This window comes from Homo sapiens, chromosome 8 (assembly GCF_000001405.40).
Source record: "Homo sapiens chromosome 8, GRCh38.p14 Primary Assembly".
In the NCBI taxonomy this organism is placed as follows: Eukaryota; Metazoa; Chordata; class Mammalia; order Primates; family Hominidae; genus Homo; species Homo sapiens.
Genome location: NC_000008.11, coordinates 108440613 through 108464489, shown reverse-complemented (window position 1 = coordinate 108464489; position 23877 = coordinate 108440613). Strand labels below are relative to the sequence as shown.

The window sequence follows — 23877 nt, the reverse complement described above, 5'->3', positions numbered from 1 at the left end:
TGGCCCAGACATCATCCCCACCCAGAATTGCCAGGAGGAGGCTTTGCTGGCACTGGAGGTAGCTCAGGGCCTGCCTGCCTCCCTCCACTGAGTCCAATGGGCACAAGCAGGCTGGCGTATGGCCAGAGTTGGCCAGAGTGTGTCAAAGCCCCTCCGATGCCTTTCCTTTACCTTTTTTAAAGAATCTCAAATAACTCATTGAAATGACTCAAAGGTGAAAAAGTTTTACCAAAAGGAACCCTTTTTCAGTTAACTACTAATCAAATGGATGTATTCTGACCCTCTCAAGTTTCTTTCCCCAGTTACAGTGGGGGAACTGGCTGAGTGTTAACTGTGGGATTCACTGCAGCATCTTACCCTCAAGGCGTGAGAAGATGAAAAAGATGAAAATGCAACCTGCAGAGCTGGGCTTAATTCCCACGTCACAGTCTGGCCCCTGCTACAGGAGGCTACCCTTCTCAGAGAGAGATTTTATAAGGAATTGAAGGAATAGTTAGGGGGCCAGGGAAATGTGAGTGACACTGGTGTTCCAGGTGAATGAGGGGTTAGTGGAGGGTTTGGTGCTACAGCCAGTCAGGATATTTGCAAATCCAAACACATTCCTGTGTGAGGCATGTTACCATTTACCAGTTTTTGTGAATATGTGTATTTTAAGCAATAAGATTTAGCTGGTCAGACTTTTCTAGGCAGTCTCAGTGGTGCATTTCCTGTGTTGTGACTGTTCTGAAGATAGAGTGGCTCTAACCACTGTGAGAAGCCTGAATAAAAATCGACCCCCACCCTCCCCTCACCGAAAAAAACCATCTTTACCCTTGGCACAGAGGAAATTACATCTAATTCATAAATAAAACTTCAAATATTTGATATATCACAATAGGCAGAGTTCACAATTCAGGACAAAATCTGATCTTCTGAAGTATGAAATCAACTAAAAGACAATAATTACTCTGCTTTCTGAAAGGCATTCCTTCAACAAGTATTCGCTGGAAGCCTACCAAATGCTGGGCACTCTCCCACTCAATGGATATAATTTTTTCCCCTTAAGGAAGATTCAAAGTATGAAAAGTCAATCATTTTCAAAACGCAAGCCGAAAAAAAAAGTGCCAAAACTGGTACTTGAGTAACATAAAAAATAAAGGCTGACAGTAGCCCAGTCCCCTCCAATTCCACCTGTCTTAGTTTTAGATTCCCATAATCTCTAGCCTAAGAACAGCCTCCAAATTACTTTTCTCATCTCCTTCAAAATATATCCTATTTCGATGACACATTATCTCTAAAACTAACTGATGATATTTACCTAATCAAAATTTGACTTCATACTCCATTCTCTAAGAATAAAAATTAAAAATTACCAAGCTGTTCACAAATGTAGACCTTCTTTTTGTACTTCTAGCTACTCTGTATAAGGAATCAACTCAGAGGTATAAAATACTGTCTTCCTCAGAAGTAAATAAGAGGAGGAGGAGAAAGTTAACTAGGCAGAGCACCAGAACCTTGCCCTCTCTTTATCAGATGAGAAATGAAATTTGAAAAAAGCGTAAAAGGAGACAGCTCAGAAAGAAAAATACAAATGGCTGTTTAAGAATATTAAAAGATGTTCTCACTCCTGTAATCCCATAGCTGTTTAAGAATATTAAAAGATGTTCTCACTCCTGTAATCCCGGCACAGAGCTTGCAATGAGCCGAGATTGCACCACTGCACTCCAGCCTGGGAGACAGAGCGAGACTCCTTCTCAAAAAAAAAAAACAATATTAAAAGATGTTCAGCAGTACTCATAATGCAAATTATAACAAAATAACATTTTTAACTAATTAGACTGGCAACTATTAAAAGAAAAAAGCTGATAATATACCACGTGGCAGGATATGGGGAAAGTGGCACTCTCATATGCCACAGAAAGTGGGTACAGATGAATAAAAAGCCTTTTCAGAAGGAAATTTGTAACATCAATCAAAATTTAAAATCCATGGACCTCCTGACCCAGACATTTCACCTCTAAAGATTCATCCCACCAATGACATCCACTGAAAAACTGTTTCTGAGAGGAAATATCAGAATCATCCTAAAGGTTCACCAAGTTCACCAAGGGGACTTAAAGAAACTTTTTCATCAAGACAAGGGACTATATATCCACGCAATGCAATCCTACTCAACAGGATAATGTAAAGGATGTGATGACATGGCATGATCTTTAAACTATATTGTTACATAGAGTATACCACATTTGCATTTCTAACCATTCTCCCTGTCAGAGGAATACACACACACGCACACAAAACACACACACATGCACACAAACACACACACACACGCGCAGGCCTATTTGTGCATGAAAAATATCTCTGAAAGATCACACAGAAAAATCATTAACAGTGCTTGCCTGGCCGGGCGCATTGGCTCATGCCTATAATCCCAGCACTTTGAGAGGCTGAGGCAGGCAGATCACAAGGTCAAGAGATCAAGACCATCCTGGCCAACATGGTGAAACCCCATCTCTACTAAAAATACAAAAATTAGCTGGGCATGGTGGCACGTGCCTGTAGTCCCAGCTACCCGGGAGGCTGAGGCAGGAGAATCACTTGAACCCGGGAGGCGGAGGTTGCAGTGAGCCACAGCCTGGCGACAGAGCAAGACTCCATCTCAAAATAAAAAAAAAGTGCTTCCCTAAGAGAAGGAGGACCTGAGCTCAGGGATAGAGGAACAGACTTATTTTTTTTTTACCATATCATTTTATATTGTCCACAATTTTTAACATGTGTATGACTTTCTCAATAGAGTATTTCAGAACTTTAAAAAAGATGGGAAGAAGGTATGCCATTCCACCATTCTTTCAAATAAAAAATTTTGAAACTTCCATTCTAATTACCTTATTCCTTCTTTCCTAAGCAGGCCTTGTACTTTAATAATGCTTGTACTTTAATAAAGGCTTATTCATGCATTCACTTGGGATACAATGTCTTTGTATCATTTAAGTCACACTCATCCTTTAAGGCCTTCCAGACTCAAAACCCATGCAGCAAGTCATCAAAGAAAGAGAATTTAATAAATCAGTTTCAAAGTCTACAGCATGTTCATCACATCATGCTACCTCACTAGAAGCACAGAAAAGGCTAATTCATCCTTGTGTTTGTTCTCACTACCATGCACACTGCAAGCATAACAAATGTTCTCTGAAAGAATAATGAATGCATGTGAATAGGAAGTACAGCTGCTTAAAGCTTCAATGAACAACTTCATTTCTATACTGGATATCCAGAAACACAGAGGCATAAGACAAATAAAAGGTCACGTGATCACTTTTCAACAATGCAGGGAGCAACAGTAAATGAGAATAAAACTAGACTTTCCCGCCTTTGAGATACTAAGTTGCTTTGGAAAAAGAAACGGCGATGTCTTCTGTGGAGTAACTTTAGCTGTTGCATATTAGTGAAGTCTACTTATAGACTTTATTAGTTCTAGGTCTTTTATGGCTATGTTTTCTCCTTCAATGTCTAGCACAGTGCTTCCTAAGGATATAGGAACAGAAACAGTATCTCTACTCTTACTAAGAGCAACTCTTTGATGGTTCATGAGAGGTATTCAATACATGTTTACAGAAGGAAAGAAGGGACTGAAAAAAGATTAGATCATGTTTGATACAAGAATAATACATTTAGCAAAGCTGAATTAAGTCGCTTTGCTCTCGAATGTTTACCTAACCGCTAAGGGATTTAGTTACTACAGGGAGTATCCCTTATACAAAATGCTTGAAACTAGAAGTGCTTCACATCTCAGATATTTTCAAATTTTGGAATATTTCTGTATACCTGAGATATCACAGCAATAAGGATCCAACTCTAAACACAAAATTGGTTTACATTTCCTATACACCTTATACACATATCCTGAAGGTAACAATTTTATACAGTATTTTAAGTAATTTTGTGCAGAAAACAAAGTTTTCATTGTGTTTTGACTGTGACTCATCACATGTGATCGGGGTGAAATTTTCCACCTGTGACATTATTTCATTCTTCAAAAAGTGTTGAATTTTGAGGCACTTTGGATTACAAATTTTCAGGTTAAGGATGTTCAATCTGTACCACTTCACACATATTCTATGAGGGGAACCATTTGGATTTCTCTTTTAGCCAGTTTTAAAAGTCACAAAAAGCCATAAAATATGAAAGATACTACAAAGACAGAGCAATAATTAATCACATATTATCTTATAGTCTGAAGAAGTGAAATAACTTATTAAAAATTCCCAATGTAAACTGAGACAGAATCAAAATATTGTACTCCTAATTCCAAAATTGACTTAAATTCCATCGATTTTTAACCTGGGATGAGAAATATAAAATTCAGAAGTTGTTTTCAGAAATCTGATTTCAGTTTTTTCAATCTATGGCTAAGAGAAAAATGAGTATCTTTGAAACCACAGTGAAGTCTTATAAATTAAGAATAAGAAATAAGTACAGGAGAAAATCTTCAGAAAAAAATGGGTGCTTTTTCTAAGAAATTGTTGAACTAAGACAGTAAGCTATTAGAATTGTTAGATTAGGAAATCATTCAAAAACTTTCCAATTTTAACGTTTTATTCTCAGTATCTACATTAGCTTATAGAAGCTATTTCTTATTTTTATTTTTTATTACAGATAGGTTTGCAACTGTCAAAATTTTTCCTTGAACTTTCTATATTCTGAGAATCTTCACAAAATAATGAAAGTTCTCAGCTATCTAGAACAAAACAATCACACACACACACACACACACACACACACACACTCTCTCTCTCTCTCTCTCACATGGCTTGGCTGTGTCCCCACCCAAATCTCATCTTGAATTGGAAATCCCACAATTCCCTTGCATCATGGGAAGAACCCAGTGAGAGGTGACTGAATTATGGGGCGTGTCTTTCCTGCACTGTTCTCATGATAGTGAATGAGTCTCACAAGATCTGATAGTTTTAAAATGGGAGTTTCCCTGCACAAGCTCTCTTTGCATGCTGTCATCCATGTAAGATGTGACTTGCTCCTCCTTGCCTTCTACCATGACTGTGAGGCCTCCCCAGCCATGTGGAACTGTAAGTCCAATACACCTTATTCTTTTGTAAATTGCCCAGTCTTCTCGGGTATGTCTTTATCAGTAGCATGAAAACCGACTAACACAGTAAATTGATACCAGTAGAGTGGGGTGTTGCTGAAGATACCTGAAAATGTGGAAGCAACTTTGGAACTGGGTACTGGCAGAGACTGAAACAGTTTGGAGGGGTCAGAAGAAGATGGGAAAATGTGGGAAAGTTTGTAACTCCCTACAGACTTGTTGAATGGTTTTGCCCAAAATGCTAATGATACGGACAATGAAATTCAGGCCGAGGTGGTCTCAGATGGAGATGAGGAACTTGTTGGAAACTGGAGCAAAAGTGACTCGTTATGTTTTAGCAAAGAGACTGGTGGCATTTTGCCCCTGCCCTAGAGATGTGTGGAACTCTGAACTTGAGAGAGATGATTTAGGGTATCTGGTAGAAGAAATTTCTAAGCAGCAAAGCATTCAAGAGGTGGCTTGGGTGCTGTTAAAGGCATTCAGTTTTACAAGGGAAACAGGGCAAGTTCAGAAAATTTGCAGCCTGACAATGCAATAGAAAAGTAAACCCCATTTTCTGAGAAGAAATTCAAGCCAGCTGCAGAAATTTGCATAAGTAACAAGGAGCTGAATGTTAATTCCACAGACAAAAGGGAAAATGTCTCCAGGGCATGTCAGAGGTCTTCATGGCAGCCCCTCCCATCACAGGCCTGGAGTCCTAGGAGGAAAAGGTAGTTTCATGAGCCAGGCCCAAGGTCCCGTGCAGTGTGCAACCTAGGGACTTGGTGCCTTGCATCCCAGCCACTCCCCCTGTGGCCGAAAGGGACCAACACAGAGCTCAAGCAGTGGCTTCAGAGGGTACAAGCCTCAGGTCTTGGCAGCTTCCACGTGGTGTTGAGCCTGTGAGTGCAAAGAAGTCAAGAATTGAGGTTTAGGAACCCCTGTCTAGATTTCAGAGGGTATATGGAAATGGCTACATGTCCAGGCAGAAGTTTGTTGCACGGGCGGGGCTACCATGGAGAACCTCTGCTAGGGTAGTATGGAAGTGAAATGTGGGGCCAGAGCCCCCACACAAGAGTCCCTACTAGGGCACTGCCTAATGGAGCTGTGAGAAAAGGGCCACCGTCCTCCAGACCCCAGAATGGTAGAACCACTGACAGCTTGCACCATGCACCTGGAAAATCTAAAGACACTCAACACCAGCCTGTGAAAGCATCCAGAGGATGTACCCTGCAAAGCCATGGGGCGGAGCTGCCCAAGACCATAGGAATCCACCTCCTGCATCAGCATTACCTGGATGTGAGACATGGAGTCAAAGGAGATCATTCTGCAGCTTTAAGATTCCACTGCCCCGCTGGATTTCAGACTTGCATGGGGCCTGTAGCCTCTTTGTTTGGGCCAATTTCCCCCATTTGGAATGGCTGTATTTATCCAATGCCTGTACCCCCACTGTATCTAGGAAGTAACTAACTTGCCTTTGATTTTACAGGATCATAGGTGGAAGGGACTTGCCTTATCTCAGATGAGATGCTGGACTGTGGACTTCTGAATTAATGTTGAAATGAGTTAAGACTTTCGGAGACTGTTGGGAAGGCATGATTGGTTTTGAAATGTGAGGACATGAGATTTGGGAGGGGCCAGGGGCAGAATGATATGGTTTGACTGTGTCCTCACCCAAATCTCATCTTGAATTGTAACTTCCACAATTCACATATGTCATGGGAGGAACCCAGTGGGAGGTGACTGAATTATGGGGGCGGGTATCTCCTGCACTGTTCTTGTGATAGTGAAAGAGTCTCTGATAGTGAGAGCTGATGGTTTTAAAAATGGGAGTTTCCCTGCACAAGCTCTCTTTGCCTGCTGTCATCTACAGTAGATTTAACTTGTTCCTCCTTGCCTTTTGTTATGATTGTGAGGCCTCCCCAGCCATGAGAAACTGTAAGTCCAATAAACCTTTTTCTTTTATAAATTGCCCAGTCTCAGGTATGTCTTTATCAGTAGCATGAAAATGGACTAATACATAGACAGCATGAAAATGGACTAATACATAGACACACACACACACACACACACACACACACACACACACACACGCACACACACGCACATCCCTACACAAACCCCCACACACCCACTCAAAAAGAAAAACAAAAACCCTAGGGAATTTCCACAGAAAATCTCCCTGGGGTGGGAAAAGACTAAAAGTAAGCAACTATCATTTAAGAAACATACCAACTACTATAATACATAAGTATCATTACAGAATATCAAAGGAAATAAGCAGAGATAAGGGATTTATGATCAGTGCCTGAGATAAATGTGCTCTAGAAACTACAGACATCAAGTTACTGTTGTTAAATTATTAAGCATTTTACATCTTAAAATCTACAGTCAGACATTATATAAGATTTTTTAATGTATATTTTTAAAGAAATACTTGCCAAATAAGAGAGAAACTTCATGTATCTTTATTGTGTTAATACAACAATTTCTCCTTCTATAAAAGAAAAAAACTCAACCTGGTTTTTGTTTAAAATTTTTAAAAATACTTATTTTCTTTTAGCAGGCATATGTGTGCGTGGAAATAATGACATAAAACATTAAAATGACTGATGTATTATCTAAAGTCTCTCTGTAACTTTTTAGTTAAAAGGTTAAGTCTGAGGGAATCTATTATGGCAATAAACTATAATGTTCTCAACATCAAAAACAGAATTCACCAGGGTATTTTTCAAACAAATACTACTATATAGGTATCTTCAGAACAAATATTCTATCCAATAAACTAATATACTTGTTCAAAATTACACTAAATTAAAGGGGTATGTTTCTTCTTATTCATGTATAAGGCAGAAAAAAGCAAAAACAAAATAAAATGCCTTCATTAATTCCATATACTAATTATTGAAATGGCTTTTTTTTCATTAAGACAACTAAAAAGTAACTGCACAAATTAAACAATTCAGTATTTCATAAACTTCAAAATATTTTATGCAAACACATAGTCTACTCTTTCCAAATCTCAACTAGCCCCTTCTCTAATACGGTATCTTCTAGAAGTTGTTTTTTTTTTTTTCTTTTTTTTTTTTTTTGACACGAAGTCTTGCTCTGTCGCCCAGGCTGGAGTGTAGTGGCGTAATCTCAGCTCACTGCAACCTCTGCCACCCAGGTTCAAGGGATTCTCCTGCCTCAGCCTCCTGAGTAGGTGGGATTACAGGCACATGCCACCACACCCAGCTAATTTTTGCTTTTTAGTAGAGATGGGGTTTCACCCTGTTGGTGAGGGTGAGAAGTCAAATTTTATTGGAGAGTCTTAAATCTATTTAAAATAAACTGTGGCCCATCATGAACTATTTAAAATTAAAAATAAAAATATTTTTTAATTAAAAATTAAAAATATAAGACCTAGTTCCTTATGTATCTATTATTTCCTCGATTAATTTTATCTTTTAAATTAAACTTTAGATTTTTTTCAAGACAATCTGCCAACTTACAGTGTTAGTTGGATCTTCTTGTAAAATCCTATCATATAGCTGTATAGCATCATCATATCTATTTAAAAAGAAAAAGAAACATCTACAATTATTACCTTAAAAATATAGTGATAAATAGTAAATACAGAAAAAAATTAAACTGGCTTTAATATTTTAATTTAAATGCATTTATAATTGCTTTAAATGCATTTATAATCGTTACCGAAGTCTTCCATCTTCATATAACAGTAAACGTTTACTACATTCTTATTTTGTTAAGTAAAGCAAATCATGTATATAGTACTTATAGAAAATTTCCCTTAAAAAAATACTGATTCAATTTGTCCAAAGTACAAAAGTAAAAACTAGCCACACAAGTTGAAGACAGAACAAGCATCAGGACCAGATGTAGATATGGTAGAAGTACTGGCATAAACAGACTAGGAATTTAAACAATGACATGTATTTTCACAACTCTAATGGAAAAAGTAAACAGGATGCAAAAACAGATGGGTAATGTAAACAGAGATGGAAACTCTAAAAAAGAATCAAAAGAAAATACTGGAAATCAAAAACAATGCAAAAGAAATGATGAATGCCTTTGATGGGCTTGGGCTTATCAGTAGATTGGGCATAACTCAAAAGAGTCAGGAGGTTGAAGAATTATCAATACAAACTTTCAAAATTGAAATAAAAAGAGAAAAATAATAGAACACAATATCCAAGAAGTGTGTACGATTACAAAAGATGTCATATATATGTAATGGAATACTAGAAGGGAAAAAAGAAAGAAATATAGAAAATGTTTAATCGTTGAAAATTTTCCTAAACTTATGATAGACACAAAACTACAGATCCAGTAAGCTCTAAGAACATCAAGCAGAATAAATAGCAAAAAATCTACACCAACGCATATAAAATTCAAATTACAGAAAATCAAAAACAAAGAGAAAATCTTAAAAGATGCCAGAAGAAAAAAACACATTACTTATACAGGTACAAGGATAAGAATTATATCAGACTTCTCTTCAGAAACCATGCAAACAAGAAAAGAGTAGAGGGAAATATTTAAAGTGTTCTGAGAGAAAACCAACTTAGAATTCTGTATCCTGAGAAACTGCCCATTAAATGTGACAGAGAAATATACTCCAGACAAACAAAAATTAAAGCAATTTGCTGTCAGCAGACCTGCCTTTCAAGAAATGTTAAAAGCTGCTCTTCAGAGAAAAGGAAAATAATATTGGTTAGAACCTTTGGAAGGTTCTAATATATAAAGAAAGAAAGAGCATTAGAAAATGAATAAATAAAGGTAAAATAAAATTTTACTTATTCTTAATCGATCAGATAACAGTTTGCTCAAAGTAGTAACAGCAACAATATATTTGGTGATTATGATTTATGAATAAGTAAAATGAATGAAAGCAGTGTTACAAATGACGAAAGAGAAGAATTAAAAATACTCTGTTGTAAGGTATTTGCCCTAACTGTGAATCAGTATAGTGTTACTTGAAAGTTGACTTGGATAGTTCTAAATATATATTGCAAACTCTCAGACAGCTATTTAAAAAATTTAAAAAGAAGTATAACTGATACACTGAGAGAGAGAAAATACGAAATTCTATAAATGCTCAATTAAATCAGAGAAGGCAGAAAACAAATGACAAAAGAAAAAATAACAAGAGCAATCAATAGAAAATAGTTATGAATATGGCAGATAATGAAACAACTTTATTAATCATCACTTTAAATGTAAATGGTCTAAGTATACCAATGAAAAGACAGAGACTATCAAAGTGGATTTAAAAACATGACCCAACTAAATGCTGTCTACACAAAACCCTCTAAATACAAAGATACAACAGAATAAAAACAAAGGGATGGAGAAAGATATGCTGTAACACTAATCAAAAGAAAGCTCAGGAGCTCTATTAGTTTCAGACAAAGCAGACCTCAGAGCAAGAAAAATCAGTAGGGATAAAGACAGGCATTACATAATATAAAGGGCTCATTCTCAAGAAAAACACAACAATCCTTATTATTATGTGACTAACAACAGAACATCAAAATACATGAGGCAAAAACTAATAGAACTGCAAGGAGAAATAGATGAATCCACTATTAAAGTTGGAGACTTCCATACTCCTTTGTTAATAATTAACAGACATAATAGGCAGAATATAAGGACACAGTTAAACTGTACAGCACAATCAATTATCTAGAAGTACTGAAAATAAAATTTTAAAAGACGGCAAAAAGAAAAATAGTCTGAAAGCACTCTTACAAACTAAAAATAATCATAATTTAAATGTTCCTATTGTCTAGAAAACACTACCGAATATTGTTGAAACATTAGAAAAGAATTATTGGACAGGACAAAAGAATGACTAAGCATTAAAAAAAAAATGATAAACTGAACTTCATCAGAACTAAAAACTTCACAAGGCACCATTTAGAAAATAAAATATTCAAGCAAGAGAATAGGGAGAAATATTCACAGCACATATATCTGACAAAGCTTTTATCCAGAATATATAAAGACCTCCTACAAATCAGCAGTAAAAAAGGTAAAATAACGCAATTTTTTAAATGGGTAAAGACTAAAGAAGATACTTCAAAAAGAAGTTATTTGAATATCTAAGCAAACATGACAAGGTTTTCAACCTCATTAGTCATCAAAAAATGTAAATTAAAGCCATATTGAGACAGTATTCCACACACTCTAGAATGTCTGAATTAAAAAAAAAAAAATTAACACCACCATGATTAACAGGCTCCATGCCTGCCAGCTGATAAGATTTGGTTACCTTTCCATGGCTTCAAATCTCATGCCTGTTAATCGCTTGACTCTGTGACTGCCAGGGAACTGTCTTCTCAGCTCTTGAAGACAAAACTGAAAAAATAAGGGTTGAGTAGTAATTACATTATTTATACTAAATGGGCTACAATGGATGGCCTATATAGTCTTCAATGTGTCTTCTTGAATAATTTCATTAGTGTCATCTAATAACATGAAGTGAAATTAATCAGTAACAAATAATGGATTGAAAGAAGCACTATGACATTACAGTGAAGGCAACAATCAGTTCTCAGAAACTGATCATGCTCTTAACCAGGAAAATGAACAGATTATGAGAACCACTAATAACTCTTTAAGTACTAATATCATATTATTCCTCCTTAAAAACTACTTCTATAATGTGTCAGGCCCCTACTTAAATGACAACAGCGCCTGGCGTTTTCTTCCTAATTACAGCATAAGCATTCTCCTGGTAAGAACTAAGTTTTTTAGTAGTCATCTCAAGTTCCTAGCAAATAACATAAACACTGATTAATTTTGCCCTGTTGAAATTTTATATTAATCAGCCAACCTTTCTTATTTTTTTTTGAGATGGAGTCTTGCTCTGTTACCCAGGTTAGAATGCAGTGGCACGATCCTGGCTCACTGCAAACTCCACCTCCTGGGTTCAAGCGATTCTCCTGCCTCGGCCTCCCAAGTAGCTCGGACTACAGGCGCCTGTCACCACACCCAGCTCATTTTTGTATTTTTAGTAGAGACGGGGTTTCAACATGTTGGCCAGCCTGGTCGCGAACTCCTGACCTCAGGTGATCCGCCTGCCTTGGCCTCCCAAACTGCTGGGATTACAGGCATGAGCCACCGCACCCAGCCAATCAATCATCCTTTCAATCAACATATCCTGATTTGGGGTCAGAAAATACAGACATTAAACGGATGGAATACCAATTTCTTTGAACAAGTATCCATAATTGACTCATCAACTTGACTAAATAAATAATCAAATATTTACTGAGTATCTACATTCTCAGCAACATATGAAGGATTCAAAGTTTTGGAAGTCCTAGAAATGTTAAAGATGATACAAATAGTCCACTGAAGCATATTAATGCATGTGTGACCAAAACAATGCCATTAACTACTGATGAAACTATTAACTGGTAATAAAATAAGTTTTAATATGAATTGGAAATACAGCTTCAAAGTTTGTGGCTGAAATTTGCCACACTAAGAAAAATATTCAAGTTAATCAAAAGTGAAGATATGTTCATTTATTTCTTTGATATCAAGCAAAATCATATTACTTGGTCAGTCAAGCAAGCTAACTGTATAAATAATCTTAACCATTATAAAGTTACTGTTTAATTGTGTATACTGCTTTATTAATCAATAGTGTTATCTAATTTGACTTCCTACTTTATCAAGTGATATTTGGCTATTTCAAAAAAAATAAAAATAAAAACCTCTCTCAAGACATAAAACGGTCACCTCTATGAATATTCAAAAGACTATGTCTCATAGGTTCTGAAGGTAATCCAACAAAGGTTTTGTGGAATGTTTTCATCACTAACAGCTCCACTAGAATTACATGTATAGCCAACCCAACCTTGAAAAGGACAATACTAATTCAGATGTGAATTTTTTTCAGGTATTTCAATTTTTTGTTTTTGCATATTTTCTTTCAGTTTAAATACAGAGGCAGCATGAAGCGGTACTTAAGAATTCAAGATGATAGGAACAACATTAACAGATGCCTCTGCTTTCTGATTTATAAAATAAATATAATAATAACATCAAACACAAATCAAATCAAGAAATAATTATGAAGGCTCAATAAAATCATGATGTAAAGCATTTAGCTTCGTTCCTAGCATGAGTCCAAAAACATAGCTACCATTACAGTGTTATTTTAAAAGCAGTATTAGGTTTGTTTGATTTTTTTCTTTTTTTTTTTTGAGACAGAGTCTCGCTCTGTTGCCCAGGCTGGAGTGCAGTGGCACAATCTCAGCTCACTGCAATCTCTGCCTTCCAGGTTCAAGCGATCCTCCTGCCTCAGCCCCCAGAGTAGCTGGGACTAGAGGCACGCTCCACCACGCCTGGCTGATTTTTTGTATCTTTACTAGAGACGGGGTTTCACCACGTTGGCCAGGCTGGTCTCGAACTCCTGACCTCAGGTGGTCTGCCTGCCTCGGCCTCCCAAAGTGCTGGGATTACAGGTGTGAGCCACCTTGCCTGGCCAAACATTATTAGTATTTTATGTTATGTTCTATACGTCGGGATTTTCTTATGTCAGATATGTTTATAATATTGTGTAACAGTATTGAACATTACATTCTGTGAAAGTCATTCAATAACACAAAATACAAAATTGTTTTAAACTTTCTTATTTTAAACTCTATAAAATAGGATAAGTCACTTACTAAGCAGATAAATTTCAGTAACTAAATCTTTACAGTAAAACTGGGATACTAAACAGCTACTTCTCAGGACTAATAAAAAGATATAAGATACTTTGTCCTAAAATATCTAGTTAGTTCCACTTACTGTTCAGAGTAGCACTCAAAACTAGCTATTGAAAGCATTCCATATAAGCCATACATTAAGTCTTAACTACGGTATACAATTGATGAAGCAAATTAAATATATACTTCATTTAAATACCTACCAATGCCAAGTCATCCCGACCATAGTCTAGTGCTGCAATCATCACCTGTTCATATATGATCCAAACTAGATACACATAAAGGGGGAAAAAAACTGAATTTAATATTAAAACAAACCCAAATGGAAATTAATGAATTCTAGTTTCTGATATTTCTAGAGAACATTACTTATAACTGAAAACTGATTTATTGTATTATCTCTGAAACTAAGAATGCATTCTTACATGTTTCAGCAGTGTAAAATATGTTAATGTAAGGTTAAAATCTCCAATTATTTAATAGTTTTACTGTTCTAAAAGAGTCCATACACAATACATTTTGGCCAGACATTTGGCAGCCCTGTGAGCTTTAAAACAAAATGCCTATTTGATAGCTTACTACTACCAAGCAATTATAAATCCTTCTCAAAATAAACTATCATTAAAATTCTTGGGACAAAAAGTCACAAAGAAAATTAATATGACAAGTAGAAAAATCATGAATGAAAGAACAGTTAAAAAAAAAAAAAGGCCCATGAATGAGGCATGTACTGAGCCTGAATGTAATAAAAGAACTTACTATCATCTCCCAGCTTAGAAGCATATTCATTAATTAATTCTTCTCCAACTTCCACAATTTGCTCACTATTTCTTGAGTTTTCTTCTCTCCATTTTCTCATTTTATCTCTCATTTCTGAAAAAAATAACATGACATTTAAGTGTATATGTACCCAGACACACACATACACATCCGATAGATGTCAAAAACCTGACAAGACAAAATCAGCTTTTTAGGTAAGGAAAATAAACTCACAATCATGTAGAAGTCTGTGGTATCTCAAATTTGATAAAGTAGAAAATTAATTGAACAAGGGCAACAGATCCTTTAGAAGACTGAAACAGCATTACAACTGGTATTATGACTATCTTTAGAAGTGATGAATGGGCCAGGCACGGTGGCTTACATCAGTAATGCCAGGACTTTGGGAGCCCAAGGTAGGACAATCACTTGATCCAGGAGTTCAAGACCAGCCTGGCCAACGTGGCGAAACCTTGTCTCTACTAAATATACAAAAATTAGCCAACTATGGTGGCACACACCTGTAATCCCAGCTACTCAGGAGGCTGAGGCAGGAGAATCGCTTGAACCCAGGAGGCAGAGATTGCGTGAGCCGAGATCGTGCCACTGCACTCCAGCTTGAGTGACAAAGCAAGACTTTGTCTCAAAAAAAAAAAAAAAAGGCAGCATGGTGGCACCCGCCTGTGGTCCCAGCTACTCAGGAGACTGACGTGAGAGGATCACTTGAGCCTGGAGGTTGATGCTGCAGTGACCTGTGATTGCACCACTGCACTCCAGTCTGAGCAACAGAGCAAGACCCCTGTCTCTTAAAGGTTGAAAAAGGAGTTCAACAGGCATATAACAAAGTAAGTTATCCTATACAGAAAGAACTACTGGTAGCTGGGAATTAAATAAACACACTAGGATCAGGAAATGAGTGTATAAGAAGTAAGAAGAGTGAGTTTCTTGGAAGACTTTTATTTCATACTAGAGAACTTTAAAGTTTGTTTTTAAAGGTACAGAAGAACAACTTAAAAATGCTGAGCAAAAGAAAAGCAACACAATCATGGCTGTCTGACAGGAAAATCATTCTGGTGCAAAAAAAAAGAAACCACTAGAATTTTAAATTTTATATGTCAATTTTAAAAATAAATAAATTTGAAACCAAAACAAAAAGCCCCAGAAGATAAACTGGAAAGGAGTAAACAGTTCAAAGAAAAGAAACTGGTTGTATTAGTCCGTTTTCCCACTGCTGATAAAGACGTACCCGAGACTGGGCAATTTACAAAAGAAAGAGGTTTAACTGGACTTGCAGTTCCACGTGGCTGGGGAGGCCTCACAATGATGGCAGAAGACAAGAAGGAAAAAGTCATATCCTACGTGGATGGCAGCAGGCAAAGAAAGAGAGCTTGTGTAGAGAAACTCCTGTTTCTAAAACCATGAGATCTTGTGAGACCCATTCACTATAATGAGAACAGCATGGGAAAGACCTGTCCCCATGATTCAATCATCTCACAGTGGGTCTCCTCCTCAACACATGGGAATTATGGGTGCTACAAGATGAGATTTGGGTGGGGACACAGAGCCAAACCATATCACCAGTCATAGAGGACGTATAGTATACTGGAAAGAACATGGACTTGATACACTTGGTTTGAATCTAAACTCCATCTTTTACATGACCTTACATAACTTACCGAATCTGTACTTAGTTTCCAATACCAATGAATAGAGATAATATTACCTTTAGCTCAGGGATGAGCAGTTAAGATTACATAAAATATATATAAAGTTGCTTGGTTCGTACAATAGTTTGGATATTTTTGTTTTTAAGTTGATTTTGATTACCCTTAGATAAGGGTATACACTTACCAGTTCTTCACAGGCACCACTATTGTCTTTCACCCAACTACATGTATTTTCATCTGCTTGGCCCTTGAGTTTAGGACACCAAACACTAGAAAATTCGTGTAAAGCATTTTATAAAATGTGAAGCCCTACAAAAATTCTAGTTACTTTTATTTTTTAAAAAAATCTGGTAACTGTTTCAGCCTCTCACAAGAAATAAAGGCTCTTCCCTCACTCTTTCCTCAAAGGTGGCTTAAAACTTTCATTTTACCCTTTCACCTTCCTGCAAAAAGCTCGCTCCTCAAAGCCAAGGTCATTTTATTACATACTATGTAAGTAAGCTTCTCACTGCTTGCTTGTACATTTTATTAACTACTGTGCAATCCTGTGAGATGAGCTAAAGGTCAAAGGTTAAGAGAGTCGCTATGATTGTTCTGTTTATTCCTTCCATGACAACTTGCATGAGATGTCACTGCAGTGAGGTGGCCTCTGAAAGATGGAAAAATATGCCTGCTACTTAATTATGATTTCTTTAGTCCAAAACTACTTCCTCCAATCCTGTATCTTTTCCACTTCATTTTTTTATATATTCGGAAATACCACTTACAGATTCATTTACATAAACCAGCATATTCTTTTAAAAGGTTGATAATTACAGGATAATAAATTTTAAATTATTCATGGTCCCATAAAAGTATCTAGTCAGATTGGCTGCAGGCTGTTGGGAACAGCTATTCTAAAAGAAAAGGCAACCTGATTTGAAAAAGGAAAGGGTTAATTTATTTTAATGCACACAGAGCTCCAGAAGACGTATTTTTCAAACTGTGTATTACAATCCATTAATAGGGTATAAAATCGGTTCAGTGGATTTCTTCCAGCATCTGTTGGGGGTGGGGGGGCAGTGGGGGAGAATGAAACAAAATGAACAGAATGGAAGCAATACTCATTAGAATCCTTTGTAAATGCAACTTTGGTTTCAGTTTATACATACACTCAAAGATTCATGTATAGGTATACTTAATTGAGTATGAGTTAATTTGTAAAAGGTGTTTCTTATTGTGAAAAAACACTCATAGGAAAGAGAACTTTTTTTAAAGCATAACTTCTAAGAACGGCAGTCTGACACACAGTCACATATTAAAATATAATAGCTGAACACAAAACAAGAAACACTGTGTATGAAAATATAACTTACAAAACAAGCAACATTTTACCTATAAACACCTTAAGCTATACACCTTACATAGCTGACCCTGCCACACTCTTGAGTGCTGCTGTAATAAATACATTTGTAGCACTATTAACCACATACTACTTTTAGAAATGCCTTAAATACATTTATCTAAAAAAATTATTTGTAAAAATAAAACCATCTTGAAGAAAACATGTTTTCACCTTTGATAGCTCATTACCTCAAAATCACAGCATCCGAAAATCAAGTCATCTTCATTTCCTAAAAATATGGCCTCCCTTCCCAATGTTCACATTTCTGTTAATTCCACCTTCTGTTAATACTACCTGACATTCCATTTTTTAGTGCTGTTTCTGACTCCCACTGTGGGAGTTTTGTATATCTAAGTCCTGTGGATTGTTTTGAAGTATTTCGAAGTATTTCGAAGATTTACATCTTCTACTCTATTTCCACTGCTATTATCCATGCCCAGGCTTTCATCACCCCATGCTAAAATTGCTAGGATAGCTTCCAAACTGATCTCTCAACCCAAATTCAATCTGTAAATTACTACCAGATATTTCTAAAGATTTACTTCATTACAATGTAAATTCTTAAGATACCCAATGATTCCTACCTTCTTTGAGGCAGTATAGTGTATGACTGGAACTATACTTCATTATTCCACTAATATTTACTTCTTGGAGTAAATATTGGAGTTCTTCATCACTCAACTAATATTTCCTAAATGCCTATGTGCCAGGCCTGATCTGGGCACTGAGGATAAAGAAAGAAAGAAAAAGATAAAGTTCCTATATACTCATAATGCTTAGAGTATAATAGGGTAAAAAGATGAAAATCCACATAACTTCAGATAGTGAAATTATACAAATAAAACTAAAAGACCATATGATAAAGTCAGGAGATTGGGAGAAAGGAGGAGCTTTTGGAAAGGGTGGTCAGAGAAGGCTTCTCTAAAAAGGTCATTTTCAAGCTAAGAGAAGAATGATACTAAAACCTGTATCTAAGATACTAAAGAAATTATTTCAACGCTAGAAAAATGGCTTATAATCTTTTCTGACAATGTGTTAGTGTTTATTATTAATCTCATTAACAATTCATTTAGTCATCAAATAATTACTGAGCTCCGCCCCCATGTGTCAGGCTCTAGGGAAGTGACAGTGAAGAAACAGGCCTGGTCCCTTTCATCTTAGGAGAGACAAAATTTTAAAACAAAACACAATTGGGTAAGTGCTTCAATAGTATTAGAATAGAATACATAATCGAAGGATTGCAGGTGTGTTTTGTTGCTTCATTTTATTGTTTGGGTTTTTTTTTTCAATTTTGGTGGGGGATGAGGAAAGGGAAGGGGGTAGTAGAGTGGTCAAGTAAGGCTTTTTTGTAGTAGGTGAGCTTTGTGGGGAATTGATAAATGATAAAGTTTAATGGGGGCAAGAGTGAGGCAAGGAGGGAAGAACACTCCCAGTGGAAGGACTAGCATGTGCCAGCTTTAAGAAGCAGCATGGCAATTTAGGGTATTCAACAAAGGCCAGCATAGGCAGCTCACAAAGTGAGAGGGAGAAGGGCTCAAGATAAAGCTGGAGACATGGGCAACCGCCAGATCATACAGAGGAAGGACATAATCATATTAGCACTAGCTAATAGTAACACATCCTTTTATATAGTACTTAACAGTTTACAAAGCACTTTAAAATGTTTTCTTTGTTCCTACAAATTTGTGTAGTAGTTATTATTTATTATTCCAAATTAATTACATCAATCCTCTTTAGAATGACCACAGGGTAAGGTCCAATTACTCAGTTAAATCACCTTGTCTGTTGGTAGTATACAGCTACTCGTCCCTCAGGATTTTATATATGCTACTATCATCTAGGAAACCTATAATGAACATACCTTCATAATAGCATTTTCTAAAAATTATGTAATATTTAAAACATTTTTTAAAAAGCATTAAAAATAACATCCATTTATCTACGACTCAGCTTACGGAAGATACCCTGACACAAGCCTTTTAAAACTGTGTGTTTACAGGTTTGTTTTCTCCATTAGATTGTGACTTCCTTGGAAGTGGGGACTGTGTGTTGACAGAGCCAAGATTTTGCAGTAAGAAATCAACACTGTTGTTTAATATAATGGAATCCCTCAATTCAGGTATAAATACTGAGATTCACAACGTGCTAGAGGCCATAAAGTCAATAAATCATTTAATTCAGTTCAAGTACAAAGAAATTTTGCTTTATTTGTAACGGATTTACAACTTTATAATAACTGATATATTTATTCACGATAAAACAGAAAATACAACTTTCGGTCCACATGTTTTCAGGTCATTATTAAAACATCCCAAGAAGGCATTCGTTAAGCAAATTAGCTACTGAAGTCTCCTGTATTATGTTAAATGCTGGGAATATGAATTCCAATTACACAAATTCCACGCCTTAATGAAACTCAAGTTTCTTAAGCACACAGAATTGATCCAAGGTTTGGCTGTTCCCAGATTTAAAGAACATATCCCACTCTAGATCAACTAAGGATAGGGAAAAGTGACCATCACACGTAAGCACTTACGTAGCCCAGAGTTAATTAGTTATTTTTCCCTTCAGAAAAGAAACTACTAGTAGGGAGTAAGAAAGAAGTTGTGTTGTGTGTGTAAATGTGTTTTGAGAAGGAGTGGGACAGAGACTAGACTAAAAGGAAAAGAAACTGGAAACCCGGGTTTAAGAAGAAAACTAAATGTAGAGTGGCATATGAGAATCACATTTGTTCACGCATCTTTTACACAGCTTTTCTGCACAGAGCTGTAATCCTTACACACCACTTAGTAAAGGGCCTTACAGGCCCTGTGTTTCTTGGCTCCAAAGAAGCTTCAGTAACCACCTATTCCGCCTCTTCCGCACCGCCCAGCAACCAGTTAGCGTGCGACAACCCCAGCCCCAAGTCCCTCCCGCCCGCCTCATAAATAAAAGCGGCCCCGGGACGCTGGACTGGCGCGGAGGAGGGCAGGTCAACCGAGGAGCAGACACCGTGGGAAACGCTGCAGAGTACGCGTCCGGGCCAAGGGAAGGGTCAGCCTCAGCCTCCACCTCAGCTTGGCCCGTACAGTGAGGGCTCTGGTACCAAAAAGACACCAGAGAACCCAGCTCCCCGAAAGCAGCGGGTACTCCCGAACGGCTTCCCAGCGCTTTTAGTCTTTCCGCACCCGCCCCCACCCGAAGTTACCTTCCCAAGTGACATCGTAAAGCTCTGAGACCTTCGCCATCTTCCCAGAACCTAGAGGCAGCGGGGTGAGAGGGCGGGGAGACGCAGTCACGTGACCCGCCACCGGGCGGTGGAGAGTTACGTAGCTTTTTCTCATTGGCCAAGAGAGCAGAGGGGGCGGTATCCGCCACGCACGTGCACGCGGCTCTGCGGAGGGGCTTTCGGGGAAGGGGGCGGAGCGAGCTGGGCGGAGCGAGCTGGACGGTGGACGGAGCTAGGTGGGCGGTGCGTGGCGCTCCCGCAATCTCAGGATACCCTGGCTGCTGGCGGGGCTACGGTGCTGGCTCGGGGTGAGGTGTGTGTGTGTGTTGACGTGGATTTTTAACAAATGCTGGGTTTTTAGTGTCCGTCAATCCTGGCTTTTCAGTTTTTTCTACCTAGGCTTGTTCATTCTCTTCACACTCCCTTAAGTACCCTTATTCTCTTCATGGCCGGCCGCAGTGCAGCCTTCTGCACGAATCCCTTATTTGTCCCCAACTTTCCTCCTTCCGTAATGGGATTTGCTTTCCGTTCACTTTTTAATCGACTAAACGGATAAACTCCAAAGTTTTGAGAGACTAAGTGGGATTCTTCCTTTGCGCTCTGAAGTTCCCTTGAATGCCCTCGCGCTAGCTTATACCCTTCATTAACGCTCGTCGTGCCTGTCATTGCTTCATCCATGTCTGCATGCCACACTAGGTTTCAAACTGTCGCGAGTATGTAAGTACTTATAAGGAATGAATGTACGAATGAGACCTTCACAGTTCCTGAACTTCGCTCCTCATTACTCCTGGGTGGATGGGGGAGCCTCCTTTCCCACCAGACTAATTGCTTTTAGGAAACTTTGGACGTCATCTCCTAGACTTAAGGAGAAATGTCTGGACAGGAAGTAAAAAATTTGAGGATGATAAGCGTATATTTAGTATTTGAAGCAATGGGGACATGAGATTGTAGAGGAAATATGTAAGCTGAGAAAAAACTAAAAATCACTGCAATGCAGCCGAAAGTTATTGGTCAGTAAAGAAGGGGCAGTTGATTTGAGAAGTAGAAATAATACTATCCCACAAGTCAAAAGAGTGGAGGGTTTTTTTTCTCAGCTTTATTGAGGTGTAATGGACAAAAATTGTGTATATTTAAGGTATACAAAGTAATGATTAGATGTAAATATACACTGTGAAATGATTACCACAAGCAAGCTAATTAACACATCTATCACCGTACATATTTCCTGTGTGTGTGTGTGTGTGTGTGTGTTGAGAACACTTAAAAATCTCTCAGCAAACTTCAAAGTATACAATACAGAATTATAACTGTAGTCACCATGCTGTACATTCGATCTCCAGAACATATTCATCTTACAACCAAAAGTTTGTACTATTTGACCAACATCTCTCCATTCCTCACCTGTCGGCTCCAGTCAACCGCAGAGGTTTTTTTGTTTGTTTGTTTAAAAAAAGGAAAAAAACCATCAAACCATAGACCCCAGAGAAGTCACTTAACAACAGAGAAGACTAGTGAATGTATATACTTGGATTCAATTCTGAATGAGCTGGCATTCTTTCTAAACAGACTTTTTAAAAATCTTTCATTCAAAAAGTTAAAAAATACTCAGAAATTCACATATTTTAATGCTCCAGTAAAGCAACCTGGTGCAATAGGAAGAACAAGAACTCCCAGATCTGAATCCAGGCTCTACCTTTCAGTAGCTGGGTGACTTTCAGCTTATTTCTCTCTAAACATCAAAAAGGCTCATATATAAAAATCTAATAATATGTGTGTAAAAAGAAAATAGCTACCTTGTGTTGTTAATCAAGATAAAAACAGATGCTGCAGCTAAAGCCCCTGCGTGGCACTCTCATGGAGGTACCATCCTATGTCTAGAAATACTGTTTATATGCTGATCAGTCCCAAACTGATAAACCTTCCCAAAACCCAGTCTGGTTGCTTGACGTACTCAGATAGCTAGCTGATACGCATCTCAAAGTTAACATATCCCACACAGAACTGCGGATTCCTGCTGTCACCTTCCGCATTCCCACCTTGTTTTTCCCTGTCATAGGTGAGGAAACCATTTACCTAATTGCACAAGTTAAAATTACAGGAAGTACCTTTGATTCCTTTTTTTGGCACCACCTCCCATATCTAGTCTATCAGCAAATTCTATATTGCACTTCCCAAAGTTCATCTACTTTTCATATCTATTGCTATTACCTTAATCTAAGCCACAACTACGTCTCTTCTGAATGATTGTGATAGTTTCCTAGCCACCTTTGTTTCATTCTTGCTGTGTAAAATCTGTTTTTTTATACAACAACCCTACTGGTCTTAAAAAAAAAATCAGACTGCAGAAGTCCCTTGGCAATAGGCCTCAAATGGCTCCCCATGGCAATAAAAATGTACTTCAAACACTTTACCATGGTTTACAAGGCTTTACTCAACCAGGTGACATTTGTCTACCTCTCCTACCTCATCTCCTACTATTCTATTTCTCCTCACTAGCCGCCAGCCATTCTCATCTACTTCCTATTCCTCAAACAGACCAAGATCCTATCTGCCTTGTATCTGGCATTTGCCCAGCTGTTTCCTTTTCCTAGAAACCATCTTCCTTTTGTCATTCATATCTCAGTTTTAAGTGTATCTACTCATAGACCTCTCTTGACCATCCAATAAAAAGTAGCCCTTAGGTAATGCCTATCCATCATAATGACACTTATCACTATTTGATTTTTTGTTTGTTTACTTGCTTACTTTCTGTATTTTACACCACTTTAAGCTGCTTCAGAGTACCAACTTTGTTATTTTAACCTTGGAACATCCAGCCTAGAAAAATACCTGGAGACAGTAAAAATGTTTATTGAATGAATGAGTCAGATTAAAAATGACAGCTTATATTAATGATTATTAAGAATAACATTTCTTAATAGTACACATATGAACTCTAGTTAAGCATAGGATGTTTTCTTTTTATAGCCGATACTTTCCTAAAAATTATAAATTCAGTGAATTCAGGGACCATACCAATTCATTTTTTTCTCTCTCAGCCCTTACTACAATATGTTGCATACAAG

At 37.4% G+C, this 23877-nt stretch overlaps 1 protein-coding gene and 1 long non-coding RNA gene across 8 annotated transcripts in view, besides 1 other annotated feature; one reads left to right on the top strand and one right to left on the bottom strand.

Annotated features, from left to right (window-relative positions):
- EMC2 (ER membrane protein complex subunit 2) overlaps nucleotides 1–20866 on the bottom strand; it is a 45573-nt gene extending 24707 nt beyond the window's left edge. For 2 of the 5 annotated variants that reach the window (NM_014673.5, NM_001329494.2), the window contains exons 1-5: nucleotides 20792–20866; nucleotides 14554–14667; nucleotides 13998–14062; nucleotides 11343–11428; nucleotides 8560–8617 (exon numbers count right to left, since the gene is read on the bottom strand). In NM_014673.5, the coding sequence (NP_055488.1) occupies nucleotides 8560–8617; nucleotides 11343–11428; nucleotides 13998–14062; nucleotides 14554–14667; nucleotides 20792–20831 (363 nt within the window). In that variant the 5' untranslated portion in view covers nucleotides 20832–20866. Of the gene's footprint in view, nucleotides 1–8559; nucleotides 8618–11342; nucleotides 11429–13997; nucleotides 14090–14553; nucleotides 14668–18188; nucleotides 18329–20791 lie in introns of all 5 variants that reach the window. The other 3 variants (NM_001329495.2, NM_001329493.2, NR_138033.2) reach the window with 3 other exon arrangements.
- Nucleotides 20913–21032: a silencer, noted in NCBI's record as "silent region_19467". NCBI's record gives its function as "represses an Ori minimal core promoter by ATAC-STARR-seq in GM12878 lymphoblastoid cells {active_cell/tissue: GM12878}" and the evidence as "EXISTENCE:reporter gene assay evidence [ECO:0000049][PMID:35858748]".
- Nucleotides 21018–23877, top strand: part of LOC105375704 (uncharacterized) — a 177474-nt gene continuing 174614 nt past the window's right edge. The window contains exon 1 of one of the 3 annotated variants that reach the window (XR_928530.4): nucleotides 21018–21120. This is a non-coding gene — a long non-coding RNA (uncharacterized LOC105375704). Of the gene's footprint in view, nucleotides 21530–23877 lie in introns of all 3 variants that reach the window. The other 2 variants (XR_928529.3, XR_928528.3) reach the window with 2 other exon arrangements.